Source organism: Homo sapiens, chromosome 14 (genome assembly GCF_000001405.40).
Source record: "Homo sapiens chromosome 14, GRCh38.p14 Primary Assembly".
Classification (NCBI taxonomy): Eukaryota; Metazoa; Chordata; class Mammalia; order Primates; family Hominidae; genus Homo; species Homo sapiens.
In genome coordinates, this window is record NC_000014.9 from 53,370,252 (window position 1) to 53,390,470 (window position 20,219).

The window sequence follows — 20,219 nt, forward strand, 5'->3', positions numbered from 1 at the left end:
GAAAAGAAATCTCAAGCCTTGAGGCCTCCCATGAAGGCGAGACCAAGATTTCTCTTCCACAACCCAATCTTTACAATTATTCTGGAGATGGTTGGGAGGAGAGTAGTCATCCTCTTGACTAGAGGATGAGAGACTGTGCAGGAGAAAGCTCTGGAGGAGACCTCACCCTTTGTGACTAGTATGGTGTGTCTCATTCATCATGAGATGGTGGGTGATGCAGGTGATGAGTTAATGATAATTAAGCCCACGCTGTGGAACCCATGGGAGAAGCATGTAATAGCCAATAGTAATATCAGCAAGGCCTTCCTCAATTCCACGCAGAGGAAGACCCAAAAGGATCAGTGGACCCAGGGCCGTGGGATACCATGAGAAGGGAGTCGACGGCAGGGATTTAGGTTTGGGGGTTCTTGGAAGGAAGGTATCATGTAGACTTTTGGTGAGGCCCTAGAGAGCCTATCATTAGCCAAAATGGTATGGCTGTGAGGCTGCTCAAATCACTACATCCAATGAGTCCTGGGGAATGGTGGGAAGGCTCTAATTTAGTGAGTGGTGGTCAACAGTAGAGATCCCTGGAAAGCAGCAATACTTGTACTTAGAAGCTAGCACAGTCATCAAGGGAGGTCTGTCTGGAAGCCTGGAGGAATAGTGACAGGGTCCAAGCCCCTGCAGAAGGGTGCCTGGTGAAGACTAAGTCAACCGTAGGCACCCAGTCAACAAGGTGACTCAGAGTAGGAAGAATTAGAGTGCAAGTTGGGAAGTTGGGAAGAAAGCAAAGTCATATAAATTGGGTAGAATTTCAGCAGGTCCTGGCAAGGAGACTACAGTCAGCAGACATGTGGGTCCCAGTGGTTCCCTTCAGGGACATTGGATATCATGCTGGCAACATCAAATCAAATCCCAGGCCCTACATACTGGTGGGAATGAAGCTGCTGAAAGATCACCATGCTGGGAGGGTTAGAAGTGGCTCAAGGTCTAACTGGGGCTAAATGTGTAGATTAAATCTTTAACACCTTTAGCTGGATGGAGTGGGGACAAACATTCTCTCCCTGAAGGTAGTAAAAGGTCTTTGTGACAGAGAACAGCTAGTATTAATGGGGAAAGCATTGAACTATTATCAAGGGTAGATTTGTGATATTTCCGGGTGGCTTTTATACCAAGAGAAGCATGCTAATATTCCAGAAAAAATTATGGGTTATTTATTCTGGGAAACATATACTTTGAACCAAAAATGAGAACACATGGTGTGATAAGTATGAGCATACTGATGAGGATAATTGGATAAGATACGTGCAATCAGGATTGTTTTGGTAAATAGGAGACTATGTGGTCACCAAGATATGCCTTGCAATTAGAGAGCTTATCTCCGCACAGAAGGAAGAAGGTATGAACATATGAGAGTAATAGAGGCTGCATGTGAGAAGCTCTTACCAGAGGAGATCAGGAAAGGGAGACAGCTCACCCATTTGGGGTAATCAGGGAAGAGTCTGTAAAAGTGGCAGCATATAATTGGATTTTGGTGGTTGTATAGGATTTGAGCAGGGAGCTGTAAGCATGAGGGCCTTCCATGTGGAGACACAGAATGAATGAAACCCTGAAGTTTGGAAGCAAAAACCATAGGAAGCACAACTGTGAGTACATAACTCAGTTGAGAGAATGGGGTAAGGCAAGACTAGAAAGGTAAATTCTGCTGTCTTGTGGATCACCATATTGAATGGGAGATTTGGTGACTAGACATCAAGCATTGTACTATGTACTAAGAATATAAAGATGGAAAAAGGAATGAAGATACATTTGGGAGATACAGGTTTAATCTAAATTCATTAGGGCTGTCATTTGTGGAAATAGGTGAGATAAAGGACATTCAGAGAGACGAACTGAGGGAAAAATCTTGTATTTTGTATTTCTATGGGCATAAGGAGATATGGAGGGAGATTTGCTCAGTAATATATTTAGGAGGAAACTCTGGGTGGTTCAGCATTCAGGCAACTGAGAGAGGAGTGGGTATCAAAATGGAATGCCAAGTACTGCTGAGAGGCCAGGGAGAGCAGAGCAGAGACAGAGAGACCATTGGAATTGCTGTTTTACAACTCTCTGACCCTGAAAACGTGGTTTCAGATGAGCAGGCATAGGAGGAAGGGTGAGGCTGGAGTCCGCAGTGCAACAGATTATGGCAGTGGTTCCCAAAATGTAGCCTTTAGATAAGTGGTGTCAGTATCACTTATTTCTGCAAATTCTTGGGCTCCACCCTAGGCCTACTGAATCAGAAACTCTGAGGGTGGGGCCCAGCAATCTGTGTTTCATCAAGACCTCCAGGTGATTCTCATGACTGACAAAGTTTGAGAACCACTGTGTTATGGGACTACACAAGGAGAATGTGGAGCCCTAGAGCTCTTAGGTGTTAAATCTGATTGTCAAAGAGTCTATAAAATTTGCTGGGCATGGTGGTATGTGCCTGTAATTCCAGCTACTAGGGAGGCTAAAGTGGGAGGATCACTTGAGCCCAAGAGGTCAAGGCTGCAGTGAGCCGTGATAGTACTACTGCACTCCAGCCTGGGAGATAGAGTAAGTCCCTGTCTTAAACAAATTTTATATACATATATATACACACACACACACACACACACACATATATATGTATATACCATATATGTGAAAATGAAGGGTCTATAAGCCTAGGGTACAATGTTCTCAAAGATATTCCTATTTGATCTTGGCAAGCATAGACTGCCTCTTTGTTAGGATGATATAATTTGAGGGGCAAAATGGCAACCTTGCTGCTTGTTATTTTGCATACTATTATCCAAGCCCATTGAGTCAGTGGAGACTTTTGGGGTTCAAGAATTTCCCTTCCAGACTGCTTTAAAAAAAAAAAGATTGTGATGCTATCTTAAGGCAGGGATGGGAAACAGGTTTTATTTGTGTGGTATGTTGATGAGGAATAATTGTCTGGAGTTCCATATTGAGGTAAATTGTGAGGCCACATTCCTTGGGGAGACAATTGTGATTGGCAATGTCTGCAATAGGCACAGGAGGCAGGGAGTCGTGGCACACAGATCACGCATTTACCATCCCTCCTATGAGGATTTATCAGGATGCCTGGGACACAAGATACTTTTAAAGGAAACAGAAGCCTGAAGAAAGGACAAAGGTGTTGAGGAGGTGCTGAGGTATGGGAAAGCATCTCATAATTCTTCCTGGGGTTTGCGATGCTGGCTTCTAACATTTGTTATGGATACTTGACACCAACATGAATACCTTGGCAAAGTTCTGGGAAATGTCAGAAACCTTGGGGTTTAAGAAAAGAGAGGGAAAACCTGCTATTGCTCATTATAAATGTGAAAAACTATATAGCTGGGGTCTGCTGTTCTCTTCTGGAATCTACTTTCTGCCATTTGTTTTGCCTGCTGTACAGATATAGCATCCAAATGAGACTGTGGCCAGGAACAATAGTAACTGTTCCCCTGCAGGTCCTCTGGGCTTCCCAAGACACAGCAGAACAGCCCTGTACCCGGGAAGCTTTGTGTATTCATCCACCTATATAAACAGTTGAGTTGGCTCATTGAGTGGTATTCTTTCAAAGACAGCCTGTTATCCTACTTACCACCCTAGTCAGGGGAGCCAAGTTATTTTACATATTTTTTTTGCCCAGTGGTAACATAATGACTATTTTAAAGCAAAAATCTTAGTGGATACCATGAAGAGTAATTAAATATGACACCTGGCATAAAGAAGAACCAAATAATGTTATGTAAAGCATGAGGTTTAGGCTTTTTTTCAGTTATATATGAGCAAATGTTTTTCCTATTCAAGCTTTAAAAATCAGAGTCAGTGGCAAGTCTTTCAGTTTATATGGAAGATCATCAATTCAACTGGCAATATAAATAATGAACCTGGGACACAGCTGGAGGAACAAGGGATTGGGGGGCAGGAGAAGTGTATTTTAGTCTTGGCTCTAGCACTTGTTTTATGTTCCTGAGAAAGTCCCTTAATCTCTCCTGGTCTCAATTTCTGGATCTGAAAAATAAACGGATTGAGCAAAGTACTCAATAAGGTCCCTTCCAGTTCTAGGATATTAATTGTATATCTGGGTTTGTCATTTATGTCACCTAAGCATGCCTAGATTCAATTGTCCTAGACTCATTAGGTTTAATGTCTAATCTTGCTGCTGGTTCTACTTTGCCTCTTTTTGCCAGGGAATGTTTATTGTGTAGGTCCAGTTATCCGAGCCAATGTCTGGCTCCATTTAATCCTGCACACCACTTTGTGATACACGACCTGTTGAGAGAACACATAAAAACTCTTCCTGGTATAAAAAAAGAAAAATAAAGATCCTATCCATTTCAAAGGGTCACCCAGAATGCCTGACATTTTTACTATTATTTACTCCTTTGTCTTAAGCATTCAAATCTTGTCTGTACATTAATTTACATTTCTTCAGGCCATACTATATGAAATGCATTGTGCATCCAATTTCTGCTCTTGTGAGCTCACAATCTAACAAATACATTATCTGAAATAGGTCACATGATAAAATTTCTAGAGTTATTTTTGAGCAAAGGAGTGACCGTTGAAGGTAAAATGTTAAATGAAAGCAAACCATTTTTATAGGAGATGGATTCCATTTTGGAATCTTGGCTTTGCATCTGTGGATGGAACCTAAATGAATGACACACTTAGTTTTTCCAGCGCTGCTGGAAGTAGCAAAAATCTGAATTCCCATATGAAAAGCAATGTAGTCTTCTCTATTCCACATGCAATTTGAATTAATTTTTAAACACATTATTTCAAGGTTGTGTTTAAATAAATAATGTGTTTATTTATTTAATAAACAATGTTAAATAAATAATGTGTTTTAATAAATAAAGCACGCTTTATTTATTAAAGCCTGCTTTAATAAATAAATGTAGAAAACACTTTGATGGACAAAATATCCAATAAAGCATGTATTTGTTCTCAGGCAGCATTATTCCTTTATATATGCCAAATGTACCGCCCCTGCCCACATAGTATTTATTTGAATCTTCATCAATGGAGCAAAGATAAACTTCAGCCCAGGCAACATTACATTCTTAATTAGTGGAATTCAAATGAATGAGATATCAGTATACCTCATGCAGAAAAGTTAGTGGGTAGAAATGAATGCAAAATGCTCAGCCATTAATAGCGTTGAGAGGGTGAATGTGGGAATCTTGTATCTTGTGTAAGTACTAATATTAAGAGCTACTGAACTAAGTACTAATATAGCACTAAGTAGTAATACAGTACTAAGAGCTACTGAACCTTATAGAGAATACTGTTCTAAAGATTAGATAAAGAATATCTTATACTTTTAGCTGGGTTTGAGAAAACATACAAAAGAATCAGACTTAGGTTTTGCTTGGAAATCTGCAGAGCCATTGGGAGGCATGTAAAGGTAAAGATTAGCCGAGGGTTTCAGAAATAGTTAGGATACACTAGCAGGACTCTGAAAAAACTTGTGCACTTGTAAACTTGGCAGACCTTAGCCGTGAATGGTTGCACCAGACCAGATGAACTGTTGGGAATGTTGAGAGAGCCAGAGAAAGAACTTGGTTATTTCTGCCGACTGAGAGAGGGAAAAAATAATCCAAATGACAGACATCCAACAGGACAGTGGTTCAGTACTTGGAAAGCAGTGAGACTGAAAACCACCTGTGGTTGGTAAAGGAAAGTAAATGTCTTTATTTTTCTTTTTTAATTTTAAGTACTATTTTGGGCTTCACACCCCAAGTAAAATGCCAGGGGTGCAGAGGTAGACAGTAGCTTGTGTGACATCAAGAGCGAGCCCTAGTGACTCATACACAATTTGGGGTCTTCATGAATTAGAAAGAATGAATGTATGTATTGGACCAAATTCAAAGAACAGAAATGCAAAAGTATAATAGCTGGCTTTAGAGGACAGATTAAGAGGCCTAAATATGTTTGACTTGGATGAAGAATGAAAAAACAGAGATATAATAGCCACCTGCAGGTCCTTGAGGGGCTGAAACTCAAACTAAATAAGGAGAGGAACTATTTGGGGTGGTGCACAGAGGCACGGCTATGCCTGACACGATGAAATTGAGAAAAGGAAAACTCAGCCTGAATGTCAGGAAAATATTTCTACCCAAGTTCCATAAATCTGCCAAGGGAAGTGGTACAGTCTTGTTATTTGAAATCACTTAAAACTAGATTGAATAAACCACTCACATTTTTTAGTCCTTCCCCACTCCACCATTTCTCTTTCTAAAAAATCTGTGATTTCTTTGTTACTGCTTATATTTGTAAGTTCCATAAATTAAATGTTCCCTGTGAAAATCTTGAAGGTATTTTTATATTTATTTCTAATTTAAAAATAAGGGTGAGATTCACTGAAAAAAAAGTCACCAGGATGTTGATTACATTTTTCCTCCTTTGCAGAGTTCATTCCTTAAATTGCTTTGTTCAATTTGGGTACAGGCTTATTTGGGTACAGGCTTTAGTTGTTTGTTCTTACTTTTAGAGTGGAATTGCAACAAGATTAGTTTTGATTGGATACTTTTAAAAATACTTAGAAATGAAAGGACTCCAATGGAATTAATTAGAATTTAATAACAGAATTAAACTTGGAAAATTCACAAATATATGGAAACTAAACATAGTCCCAAGTAATCAATGAGTCAAAGAAATCTCAAGGGAAATTACATAATATTTTAAGATAAATGCAAATGAAAATACAACATACCAAAACTTACAGGGTACAGCAACACAGTGTTCAGGGAAAACTTATACCTATAAATGCTTTTAAAAATGATACAGATCTCAAGCTAATAACCTAACTTCTCCCTTAAGAAACCAGAATGAGAAAGAGCAAAGTAAACCTAAAGTAAGCAGAAGGAAGGAAATAAAGACTCGAGTGGAAATATGTAAAACAGAGAATAGAAAAACAATAGAAAAAGCAATAAAACCAAAAGTTGGATATTTAAAATGATCCACAACATTGATAAACCTTTAAACAGATGGGCCAGGAAAAAATAAAAAAACTTGAAGACTCAAGTTACTAATATCAGGAATGAAAGCGGGGAATCATTACTGACACTGCAGAAGTAAGGAGAATAATAGAGAAATACTATAAACAGCCATAGGCCAACAAATTAGATTATTTAGATGAAATGGACAAATTCTCTGAAAGACAACAGTTTTTGGAACTGCCTCAAGAAGAAATAGAAATTTGAATAAACCTGTAAGAAGTAAAGAGATTGAATTAGTAATCAAAAAACTTCACACAAAGAAAAGCCTAGGACCAGATGGCTTCACTGGTGAATTCTAACAAACATTTAAAGAAGAGTTAGCACCAATTCTTCACAAATTCTTTCAAAAAATAGAAGAGAAGGGAGCATTTTCTAACTTATCCTATTAGACGGTTATTACAAACTAAACCAGACAAAGTTATCACAAGAAAACTACTTTCGAATGTAGATGAACAATTCTCAACAAAAATCCTTTCCCAAAGATCAGGAACAGAACAGGATGTCCATGATCATCACTTCTATTTAAAATTATACTGGAAGTTTTATCTAGGGCAATTAGGCAAGAAAAAGATATACAGTAGTCACCACTTATCCGGGGTACACTCAAGACACCTCCAGTGGATGCTTGAAAGCATGGATTGTACCGAACCCAGTTGCTGTCAATTGAAACATGTTCCCATTCATATCTTTCATTCAGAAGTTTAATGTCTTTTGAATCTTAAATAAGCACTTACTGCACACTATGGCCATACCTTTTGCAGTTTGAGATGTGACAGCAAAACTTGTACGATTTTTTTTCTTCTTCATGTGGATAGATTTTTTTTTATCATAGATCTTAGCAACCTCAACATACATTTTCTTCTTTCTTTTATTAAGTCGAGAATGTTGACATTCCCACATAAAGGAAGCACTTTGTGGCTTCTCTTTGGCATATCCAAACTGCCAGCATCACTACTCTTGTGATTTGGGGCCATTAATAAGTAAAATACGGGCTGCTTGAACACAAGCACTTTGATACCACAACAGCCAATCTGATAACCGAGAAGGCTACTACGTGGGTAGTGTATACAGTGTGGATATGCTGGGCAACAGGATGATTCATGTCCCAGGTGGGACAGAGTAGGACTCTGAACAGTTTCATCATGATACTCAGAATGGTGTGCAATTTAAAATGTATGAATTATTTCTGGAATTTTCCATTTAACATTTTTTTCCTTGCTTGACTTCGGGTAACTGAAACTGTAGAAAGTAAAACTACAGATAAGGGGGAACTACTGTAAAAGCTATCCAGATGATAAAGGAAAAGGTAAAACTATTTCTGGTTGCACTAGAAATAGTTGCATATAGAAAATGGTGTTGTATATAGAAAATTCTAAAGAAGTTACTAAAAACAAACAAACTAAAAACCTATTAGAAATAAGTTCAGCAAAATTGCAGGATATAAGATCAATATACAAAAATTAAGAATATTTCTGTAGAGTGGTAATGAACATTCTAAAAATGAGGTTAAAAAATCCATTTGTGATGGTATCCAAAGAATAAAATTCTTAGGTTTAAATTTATCATAAAAGTGCAAAATTTGTACACTGAAAACCATGAAACATGTTAAAAGTCATTTAAGAAGATCTACGTAAATGGAAAGACAGCTCATATTCATGAATTGGAAGACTTAATATTGTTAAGATGGCAATATCCCCCAAATTGGCCTACAGATTCAATTCAATACATGTCAAAATTGCAGCTAGCTTTTTTTTCTTTCAGAAATTAATAAGCTGATTCTAAAATTCATATGGAAATGCAAGGGACACAGGATAGCGAACACTCATAAGAAAGAAGAACACTACAATCAAAGTTGGGGGATTCACACTCCCCGATTTCAAAACTTACTACAAAGTGCAGTAATCAAGACAGTGCAGTACTGGTATAATGCCTTTTGAATTGATCTGGTATAAGGATAGACACATAGATCAATGAAACATAATTGAGAGTCTATAAATACACCCTTACATTTATGGTCAATTGATCTTTGAGAAGGTGCCAAGACAATCTGATAGGGGAAAGAATAGTAATTTCACAAAATGGTACTGGGACATCTGTATATCCACATGCAAAAGAATGAATTTGGATGCCTACCTCACAGCATACACAAAAGTTAACTCAAAATGGGTTATGGATCTAAATTTTAGAGCTAAAACTATGAAGCTCTTGGAAGAAAACATAGGTGTAAATCTTTGTAACTTGGGTTGAGCAACAGCTTTTATTATTATTATTATTATTATTATTATTATTATACTTTAAGTTCTGGGGTACGTGTGCACAACATGCAGGTTTATTACATTGGTATACATGTGCCATGTTGGTTTGCTGCACCCATCAACTTGTCATTTACATTAGGTATTTCTCCTTATGCTATCCCTCCCCCATGCCCCCAACCCCCGACAGGCCCCGTGTGTGATCTTCCCCTCCCTGTGTCCACGTGTTCTCATTGTTCAACTCCCACTTATGAGTGAGAACATGCAGTGTTTGGTTTTCTCTTCTTGTGTTACTTTGCTGAAAATATGACACCAAAAGCATAAGCAACTAAAGAAAAAATAGACAAGTTAGATTTCAGTGAGATTAAAAAGTTTTGTGTTGCAAACAGTACCATTGAGAAAATGAAAAGACAGACCACAGAATGGGAGAAAATATTTGCAAATTATATATTTGATAAGGGACTTTTATCCAGAACATGAAAAACATTATTATAGCTCAATAATAAAAAAGACAACCTAATTAAAAATGAGCAAAATATCTGAATATATATTTCTCCAAAGATTTACAAATGGCCAATAAACACATGAAAAGATGTTCAACACTATTAGTCATCAGGGAAATGGAAATTAAAATCACAATGAGATATTGCTTCAACCCACTTGGATGGCTATAATGAAAAACACAGATAGTAACTGTTGGTGAGGATGTGGAGAAACTGGAAGCCTCACACAAGGCTAGTGGGAATGTAAAATGGTGCAGTTGCTATGGAAAACATGTTAGCAATTCCTTAAATGTTAAATACAGATTTAGCACGTGATTCAGTGATTCTGCTCCTAGGATACCACGGAGAATTAAAAACATATGAACATGAAAACTTGTATATGAATATTCACAGCAGCATTATTTATAATAGCCCAAATCTATTCAACTGATGTAGATAAGCAAATGTGGTATATCCATATAATGGAATATTATTTGGCAATAAAAGGAATGGAATATTGACACATGCTACAACATGGGTGGAACTTGAAAACATTATGCTAAATGAAAGAAGCCATTCACAAAAAAAACCTACTGTATAATTCCATTTATGTAAAATGTCCAAAATAGGCAAATCTATAGAGACAAAAGTAGATTAGTGGTTGCCATGAATGGGAGTGGAGTAGGGGTATGAAAATGTTTAGAGACAAAAGTAGATTAGTGGTTGCCGTGAATGGGAGTGGACTGGGGGTATGAAAATGTTCTAAAATTAGATTGTGATATCATAACTCTGTGAATAGACTAAAAACCATTGAACTGTACACTTTAAGTGTATGAATTGCATGATATGTGAATTGTATTTCAATAAAGCTGTTTTTTAAAAAGGAAAGGATTCCATTATGCTGGGCATCACTAAAGCTAAATGAAAATGTTGTTCTTTTGATCTTAAAAGAGCTCACACGTTTTTTTTTCAGCCTCTCTCCTCCTACCTCTGTCTGTCTCTTTTCAGTTGTTTTTCTCTCCCTTGTGACTTATTCCACAAAAGACATAATTTATGACTCATAAATTTTATGATTGACTCTTAGGTGACCAACTTGAAACTGAGAAAAGGAAAACTCAACCTAGAAATAAGAAAAAATATTTCTTACACAATTTCTATAAATCTTTCAAGAGAAGTGGCAGAAGTCTTAGATAGCTGAATAGGTAACTGCATAAGCCCCTCACCCATTCCAGTGGTTGGGATGGGGAGGAGGGATGCCAGCATAACCTTAAAGTGGGGTGGACTCAGACTGGGGTACTGGACCAGAGGCTGGGGAAGGGACATTGCCACTCCCACCAAGAACAGATACTGAGTTCCTTTCTGCCAGGCAGAAGGTTGGAGAGAATTTAGTAGAGCAGCATACCAGTCCCCAATATTGCAATGAAACAATCCAAATAAGGTCCTGGTGTTCAAGATGAAGAAAACCTTTTGGTAACTACCCAAAATATAAATGTAAAACAGGAAACAAAGAGGCAATGGAAAAACATAAAATCTGACAATTCATTAAGAAAAAAACCCAACCACCTCTAGACGTTGTGAAATGCAAAATCACGCAGGGGAGAGGATGGGGAAGGGCAGGACAAAAGCTAAACACAAGGTGTCGTTTCCTATTACTGTGCCTCAGATGGTGCTTCACTGGGCAACTTTGTCAGACCACACATGAGACTGGGAAGTCAGAAAGAAGCTTTGCTTTCATAAAATCTTTCCTTCTTCCTTTGCTGATGCCTGATATTCCTTAGATAAAAAATAAGGTTGCTTGCTTTATAATTAAAGCTAATAGACTTGAACGTGTGATATAATTGAGAGTTAATACTCAAGAGTAAATGTTTTTATCAAGAGGTACCTGATGGTTCCATGCTGGGCCTGAAGGGTTGAAAAAGCATGAAGACCCTATGTGCTAAGGAGACAGAGATGTGAAAAGAAGATGATGGCAGGCCTTGAGTGTTAGGACAAGAAATTTAGTCACAGGTAGAAAAAGAGGAAGATTCTTACGCAGGAGAGTAACATGATTAAATCAATGGCTGAGGTCATTTTGACAGCATAGCTAATAGACAAGATTGGGCACAATGACAAGGCAGCCACTTTGAAAGATGTTATCATAATCCAGACAGGAGAGATTAGAAATATTGCAGAAGTGGAAAGAAGAGAGGAACAAATTGAGGACAGATGGTGAAAAAAAGTCGCTACCTTAAAGGTGGTTCCAGAACCTCATGGGCTCTCTCTAAGGGTAGCACAAACCCATAGTAATGGGAAAGGGAGTCATACTGCTCATTTAATTTTCTCTTCTTGGCCTTAAGAATTCTCCAGTAGTTCCTCACTGTGGTCAAGTTAAAGTCCAAATTCCACAATAACATTATGAGGTTCTTCCTAATCTGTTTCCTGCCTGCCTCTCCAAACACCCATGTCTCCCTGCTGCTGCCTCTCATTCCAGCCACCCTGAAGAACTCTCTCCACTTCTGGGTTTTGTAAGAAATGGCTCTCCTGGGACATTTCTTCTTTTTGCACCTACCCTCTACCTTTTCCCCTAAATGGGGGTAATTCCTATGTATACTTGAGATCTCAATTTAGACATCACTCGGCAGAAAATCTCTCCTGTCCCTTCCCTCGACTAGGGCTAATTTTTTGTCCCTTCCCTCAACTAGGGCTAATTTTTTCTCCCATGGGTCTCTTTATTACCCAGTGCAGCACAAGAGCATCCTACTTTAGCACAAACTATTATACTGAATGTCTCTTCAAATTTTGGTGGGCACAATATTAACCTCTAGTGCTTCCTAAATGCACACTTCCAGATTCAGGCCAAAGACTGATTTAGTAGAGCTTGACCAAACCCACACTTTTGGAAACACTGCTGTATTGTAATTGGTTGTTTACTTATTAGTAATCCCAACTGGACTGCAGCTCTGGAAGGGCAGAGGCCATTATAATCCTAACACCCAGGACAGGGCCTAATGTGGTACAGGCAGCCATTTAGGTAGTTGTCAAATAAGTGAATAAACAATGTGAGAAGAGGAAGAGCAAGAAAAACCAACTGAAGTCTGCAAGCTTAGGAACCAAGAAAGTAATAGAAAAAAATGAGAAGGGGTATCTATTTGTGGGGGAAATTATGAAAACCCACATGCAAATTTCAGGCAACAGGTTGGGATTCTAAGGCAGTGCCCAGGCCTCCATGCCTCCTGTCTGGCACTGACTATAATGTGGAAAATGGCCTGGCTCTTCTTACATTACCTGTGCACTTCCAAGGACTCCAAAATGTGTTTTCCCCAAAGGCGGTATATAATTTTGAGAATTGCAATCATTTTTTCCATGTTCTTTTGAAGGCTGTAAAATAATTTTAGATGCAATAGTAATTCTAGGTCCTTGCTTACCCTTGACCTTTGAAGTTTTATTCAAAACATCACAAACCTCTCAGCCCGGATGTTGGCAAGTTAATGATATATTGCTGCAGGAAAGAACTTGGTCTTGTTTGCATGAGGAACTCGGAATCTTTGGTATATTACCTCAACTTTTTTTTTTAGGATACAACTGAAATATAATTTTGTTAGTGTAAAGGTAAAAGATGAAGTATTAGGAAAAATAACAAAGCCTCCCAATGTTTTTGGAACTCAGTGTTATTATGCTGTTGATGTAAGAACTCTTCAAAACCCATGGTGACTCTTCTAGCTCAAGAATAAAAAAGATAATTTTCAGCAAAGTGAGTCCACTGCCTTTTTTCTTTTTTTTTTTTAGAGGTTGAGCTCCTTTTACCCATTTCCTACATCCAGCCTCATTCTTGGTTTCTAAATGGTAGGATTCACACAGAACTGATTACTAAACCACCCTGCCAACTACTCTTGAAAACTTCTTAGCCTTTTAACTAGCAAAATCAACCTTAAGAAGAATAAGGCCTTTATAAGGCAAGCAGTGAACAAATCCAGCTTATACCATTTGGTACATCTCACAGAATACTGTAAATCATTGTGATTTATATATATTTCTTAAGATTCTCTACTGTGGAGCAAGCATCTTGAGGACATGGGACAGGTACCCTTCTCTGGACCTAATCCAATGTTCTACATTGACTAAGTGCTTACTAAGTGGCTGTGGAATGGACAAATTAATCCTTAGCACCTTTCTGATCCTGGTTAGCTGATTAGCACACAGTACTGGGCATGTCCAGTGCAGCCAATACTGGTGAATTAAATGTAATGACATCGTTTTCTAACACCTCCTTGGTATTTATTTTCTTGGGGAAGGGTGACTAATTATGCTCTGGAGAGGCTAGCCACCTCCTGGCAGCCATGTTAAAGGTGTGGACAGTGCTGGGCCTGGAGGCATTATTAGCTTCTGTGTGTAGATGGAGAATCTCAGGTTACAAGAGATTGGGAGACTACACTTGAGGTTCCAGGTGGCATAGTAGAGGCCAGAAACCTTCTGGATCAAACAGATTACTTCTTGGAAGCAGTGACAAATAGCTGTTTTTCTATGAGAGGACGTTTTCTTATGTGAAACTTGGTCTTTATCTTCTTTTTCAGCTTTTGGAATTGGAAGATGTTTTCCATCTTCTTTCCTTTCACTGGCGTCATATAGGAACCCTGCTTACAAACACTCTGTTCTTTTAAAACTAGTTTTCCAGTAAGGTTTCTTCATCCTGGGGAGCCCAACAACCCACACCATGCTCTATTTAGACTTCTGCCATCTGCCGGCCTCCCCCAATCACCTCCTCCACGACACACACGTAACACCACAAATTCCCAGCCAGGAAGGAGATGCTGTTTCAACTGGGTGTTTGAAGATGTCATCCTTTCTTTCCATAATAAATTAATGTTTTCTCCTCCCCACTGTGATCCTTTATATATAACCTCCTCATACTCAGAAAAATTTTCCGCTGATGTTTAAATATATTTATTTGGCAAGTGTGTGTGTTCTCAGTGATGAAGTTCTCTTGACTGAGAACTATAATATTATGAGAAAGACCTCCTCCTAACCCTGATTATGTGTTCATGCTTAAGATAGGCTCACAGTAACATCATAACCCGACTTCTATATAGCAACACAATGATCAGGCACATTGGCACATGGATAGAATCACTGCCCCTAAGCTGAAAATTTGTCTGTGTAATATTTTCTTGCACTCTCCTTTTCCTCAGACAGTGCCAGAGCAGCAGCCAGCACCTGCAGTTACTGGCAAGGTGTGTTGGCAGCTGGACCAGCCAGATGCCAAGGTCTAGCCTGCTCCAATAATATTTTAGTGTCTGGGTGGCAAGCTGGCTTCCTGCTGACATATAAGTCTGCCACTGCCCCATGGAGTGGTCCTGGAGGCTTGCATCAGGGTTGGCTGCTAACCACCCACCTCTAGGGAAGAGAGTGGACTCCCCTTGACCCTTTTCTAGAAGGTGGTAACTGTGGTAGAAATCTCTTTTAGAATTAGAGAGGCTTTCTGAAGGGTGAGTGCCTGCTCCTTTCAGTGACTGCTGTGGCTACCCAAACCACCTTGATTCTTCTCTTGGTGCCTTGTTAGCTCACGCAGAAACGTCCCCCAAATCAGAGCTTATGCTCCCATATCTGTGCCTTGCTGTGGGAACAATGGGAGCCCAAGTCTACTGGCCAAGTGTCATTGCAAAGGCAGATGGCTCTACTTCTGCATAAATTTTTCACTTCAGTTAGAGTTATTTCCCATGCTTAGTAGATACCATAAATAAGTATTCTATGGCATTCCTTTGCAAGTGGGCATTTGTCCAGGCAAGTAAGTTCTCTTTAAGCAGATGGTAAATGCGTCTGTCTCGTAAATTCTATTCCATTACAATTAATGTTGGGAGACTGGGCAGATGATAATGGGAAGTTGAGCCCTTTGGTAGTGAACTCTAAGGCATTAGAGTCAACTGGCCTGAGTTTGAATCCTGCTTTTATACTTACCATGTGGCCTTGGACAAGTTATTGAACCTTTTTGAGTGTTGGTTCCCATATCTATACAATGGTGATAATACAGCTAATCACAACTTTTGAAGGTCCTACATTTGAAGAGAAAATGTGAAAATTCATGGAATGCACTTAGCATAGCACCTGACTTGAAGGTAATACTATTAAATGCTTTAAGAATACATATATTTTTCTGGTCCGTTTGCAAGACATCAGTACCGATGTGTGTTTGAACTCTTCAGGGTAACTGGCAGTTGGCATGGATGGCAGAGTACCTTAAGTAAGTTGGTTTGAGGTTGAATTCCCTTGCTTGAGTGGATGCACAGGCCCATCTTACTGTTGTGTAATTCAAATTTTTTAGCTTCAGCCTTGATGACAGGCTCGCATAACATGCTGCAAGCCCCCCTGTAATTGTGGCTGGATGAAAAGAATATATGGGATAATGATATGACTTTTTCCTCTCCTTGCTCAACACTGTGGTATAGAAGGAAGAGGGCTCTCCAGAAAACACTTTCAGAATGGCAAGAGCACGTGTGTTGGTTTGTTTTAGAACACATAGTTCTCGGATTCTGTTCCTGATGGACTTGGTTAGGCCTGTGGGGTTGAGGTTCACTGTATAGGAGATGGTTAGAATTCAGTGCTATGCAAGCAAGTGTGATTCATGGCCACTGAAGCCTTTGCAGAAATGTTAATGTTTGTGAAGTCCTCTAAAGTTCATATTTTCCGTGCATCTGGAAATTCCACTTACCAAAATTGAATTGTCGCTATTTGACCATAATTTCCATTCCTTTCTGAATGGAAAGGACTTTCTGAAGGGTGAGTGCCTGCTCCTCTTAGTGACTGCTGTGTCTACCCAAACCACCTTGATTCTTCTCTTGGTGCCTTGTTAGCTCACACAGAATGTCCCCAAATCAGAGTTTATGCTTCCGTATCTGTGCCTTGCTATGGGAACAGTTGGAACCCAAGTAACTAGTCTGGGATTGCACTTGATTGAGGGCTCAGACCTTCTCTCCAAATTTCTCCTTCTTCAGTCTTCTTTCACTTAACAAACTGAGGAGCTTCCTGGATTTTTTATTGAACTCTGTGAAGACAAGTTTAGGTATCTGTCCATTCTTCATCACAGTCTAGTGCTGAGCCAGCCACTACTTCCTTTCCTTCCACCCTCCTTGTCAGTGATAATTTTAAAGGCAACAGACTCCTTCATCAGAGTTTCTCAAATTTTGGTGTGCACACAAATCCCCTGGGATCTTTATTAATAAGCTGATTCTGATTTAGGAGGTCGGGGGTTGGCCTGAGATTCTGTATTTCTAATAGGTTTCCGGGTAATTCCCATGCTGCCAGTAAACAGATCAAGAGATCAAGTATAACTTCATCCTAAGTTATGTATATGAGGTTCTATAGGGATTTGATTCTCCAAACATTTATTGAACCTTTCAGCAAATGCAGCCATTTTTCCTCCCTGAATCCTCAGTTTGAGCTTTCTGATCATTTTATCTTTTGGCAGTGCTTAACACTGCAGCCTTAATCAGCTCTACTCCTCTTGATTAGTTCCTCTTGTATTGGTATTTATCATCCACTTAGAATTTCAGTCCTTGTGTATGTGGCTATTGCTGTGACAAGCAGTATATACTATATATAAATGTGTAGTCAGCTGCAGTGACTCTCTTGGGGCCATTTTGCTTGCACTGGCTTTTGGCTCTTACTCTCCCCTTTGTTGATCTCACATTCAGATTCACGGCTTTGTGAAACTCAGTGATATATATCTATCTATCAGAATCCCTTTTTAGGGTGTCTACTATTGACACTTTCCTGGATAACTCTAACCCTCATGAAAAATTGGTTAGCATCAATCTTTTTGTCATCTACTCCCTTGTTTAATAGGCACACAGAAGCAAGCTAAGATTTCTTTGGCTACCTCATGTGATGAAACAATGAATTAAGAAAACCCAACCAATATGCTTAAAAACATCTCCCCACCTTTCTCTATTCAAAAACTAGGAACACATCTGAGAGCATATAGGAATGGAAATTTGGGACAGCCAATTTTTTGGAATTGAATGAAGTGATCTAGAGTATAGAAAACAACATGTCTTTGGTTGGAAGCATAAGCTATAGCATCGGACATTTCCTCCTTCCCTGGCTGTCTATTCATAATTCCCATCTCACAAGCACTTTACTAGATTACCTAAAATTAGTAACACAAACAATTAAAAGTACTTTACTAAATTATGACAAGAAGGTGAACCATTGAGTGCAGGTCTCAGTTTTTCAGTTGTTCCCAAGCTCAACTGTGCATTACCATGGCTGGGGGAGCTTGTTAAAAATACAGATATCTAAACTCAAACTCCCAAGATTCTCACTTAGGTAGGTATGGTGTTAGGATTTTTCTGCTGCCTCCTTTTCATCTCAAGGTTGGAGAGTCCCCAGGCTCAGATGTCCCGTTCTCCAGCTGTGCTTTCTCCCTAGGTGATTTTATCTGGACTCAGAGGTGTAAATACCAGGTATACACTTACACTTACATCTTCAGCCTGCTCCTCTCCCTCACACTCCAGACTAACGCATCAACCCCCGTCCAACAACTAAAACTTAATTTGTCTTCATTCCCTCCCAAATCAGTTTTTCCTGTAGCCTTCCCTAACTCCAAATATACAACTCTGTGCTTCCTGTAGCTGAGGTCAAATTTTTTTCTCTTACACTCCATATAAAATCTGTCAGCAAATCCCCAACTTTCAAAATATAACCCAAATCTTTTTACTCCTCACTATGGCCACTCCTTCTAATATGGTCTAAGTTCTCATAATTTTTCTCCTGAATTATGGCAATAGCCTTCTAGTTGATCTCTTTGCTGGGCCATCCACTACCACCTTTCTGACCTTGTCTCCTATCACCGTCTCCCTTGCTCCTGCCACTCCTGCCATGGTGCTTTCTTGCTCTTCCCGGAGTACCCAGGGCTTTTACAGTAGCTCTTCCTTCTGGCAGGAAGGCTCTCTACTGAGATATTTGCATGCCATGCTCCATCAATTTTTTTAGGTCCTTCCTTACACATGATCCTAGCAGAGGAAGCATCCCTGACCAATCCATATAGAATAATGAGAGCTCTGCAGCCCGACTTTATTTCTCTCTATAGTATGCATCCCTGCCTGAGGGGTTTTACATTTTTGTTTGTTGTCTGGATCCCCCTACCACAATGTAAGCTTCGGGAGAGAAAGACTTTTATGCCAGTACTTAGTAGGCACTCAATAAATATTTGTTCAATGAATGAAAGGAAGAAAACTATATTTTCCAGAAACAGCTTCTTTTCTAAGCATCAGTGCCACATTTATAGTTAGAAGTTTATTGAGGGCAGGTGTCCTATCTAGCTCATGTCTGTGTCTTATGCAGCTGCACTAGGGATTTAATAAACATTCATTGAGTGAATGAATAATTGTAGTGTAGAGGAAATGCCACAGACTTTAGAGAGAAGTGAGCCAGACTTAAGTTTCAGCTTAGCCTTGTATTAATCATGTGACTCAGACCGAGTTACTAAGCCTTCCTGAGCTGTTGCTTCCCCATAAAATAAGTTCTGTCTTTAGATGATTGTTTTAAGGATTAAATGAGATAGTATACAGAAACCTCTTACATATAGGGACTTAACACATTAAGTGGTGGGCACCTGTAATCCCACTTGTAATCCTACTTGGGAGGCTGAGGCAGGAGAATCACTTGAACCCGGGAGGCAGAGGTTGCAGTGAGCCAAGACCGCACCATTGCACTCCTGCCTGGGTGACAGAGTGAAACTGCATCTCAAACAAACAAACAAATAAAAACAACAAAAAACATATTAGGAACTCAGTATATTGATATTGCTGCTGCGGTTCCTTATCCTGACCAATATTAACCACTTATATCCTTTCCTTTTCATTAAACTTACTCCCTGCTTCAGTTTCTTTAAAATCCATGAAAGACACTAACCAAATCCAAGCTTTGGTAACTGAGCTCCTCACTGCTCCAAGTTCCTGGATCTTGGATTTATGAACATCGCAGATTTACCCTAAAGACTCAGGGAAAGAGAATGAATGGCCATACATTTGTACTCTGGAGGATCTTAAAAATTTGTCTCGAATATATGCAGAATCTGACCTTTTATCGCCTCCAACTCCATCTCTCCTCTGGATTATTGCAATTGGTTTCCTTGCTTTTGCACTTGTACCCCTCCATTCCTTTCTCCATCCAACAGACAGAGCAATCCTTTTTAAAAAGCAAGTCAGAGCATGTCAGTCTTCTGCTCTACTGGTTTCCCATCTTACTCAGAGTAAATGCCAGAGTTCTTAAAAAAAGCCCAGAAGGCCCTACGAAATCTCATCTCTCTCACATTTCTGAGCGCATCTCCCACTATTTCTTTCTTACCCTCACTCCACTTCAGCTACCACAAGCCCTTTGCTATTCGTGGAGCACGTTACAAGGCATGTTCCAACCCGAGGGCCTCTGCACTTGCTGTTCCTTCTGGCTAGAATGCTCTTTCCTAAGATATTTGTATGGCTCCCACTCTCACCTACTTTAGAGCT

At 39.4% G+C, this 20,219-nt stretch overlaps 1 long non-coding RNA gene across 6 annotated transcripts in view; it reads left to right on the top strand.

The window, feature by feature from the left end:
* The window catches only part of LOC105370504 (uncharacterized), a 402,142-nt gene that overhangs the window by 49,600 nt on the left and 332,323 nt on the right, over positions 1–20,219 (top strand). The window lies entirely within an intron of this gene.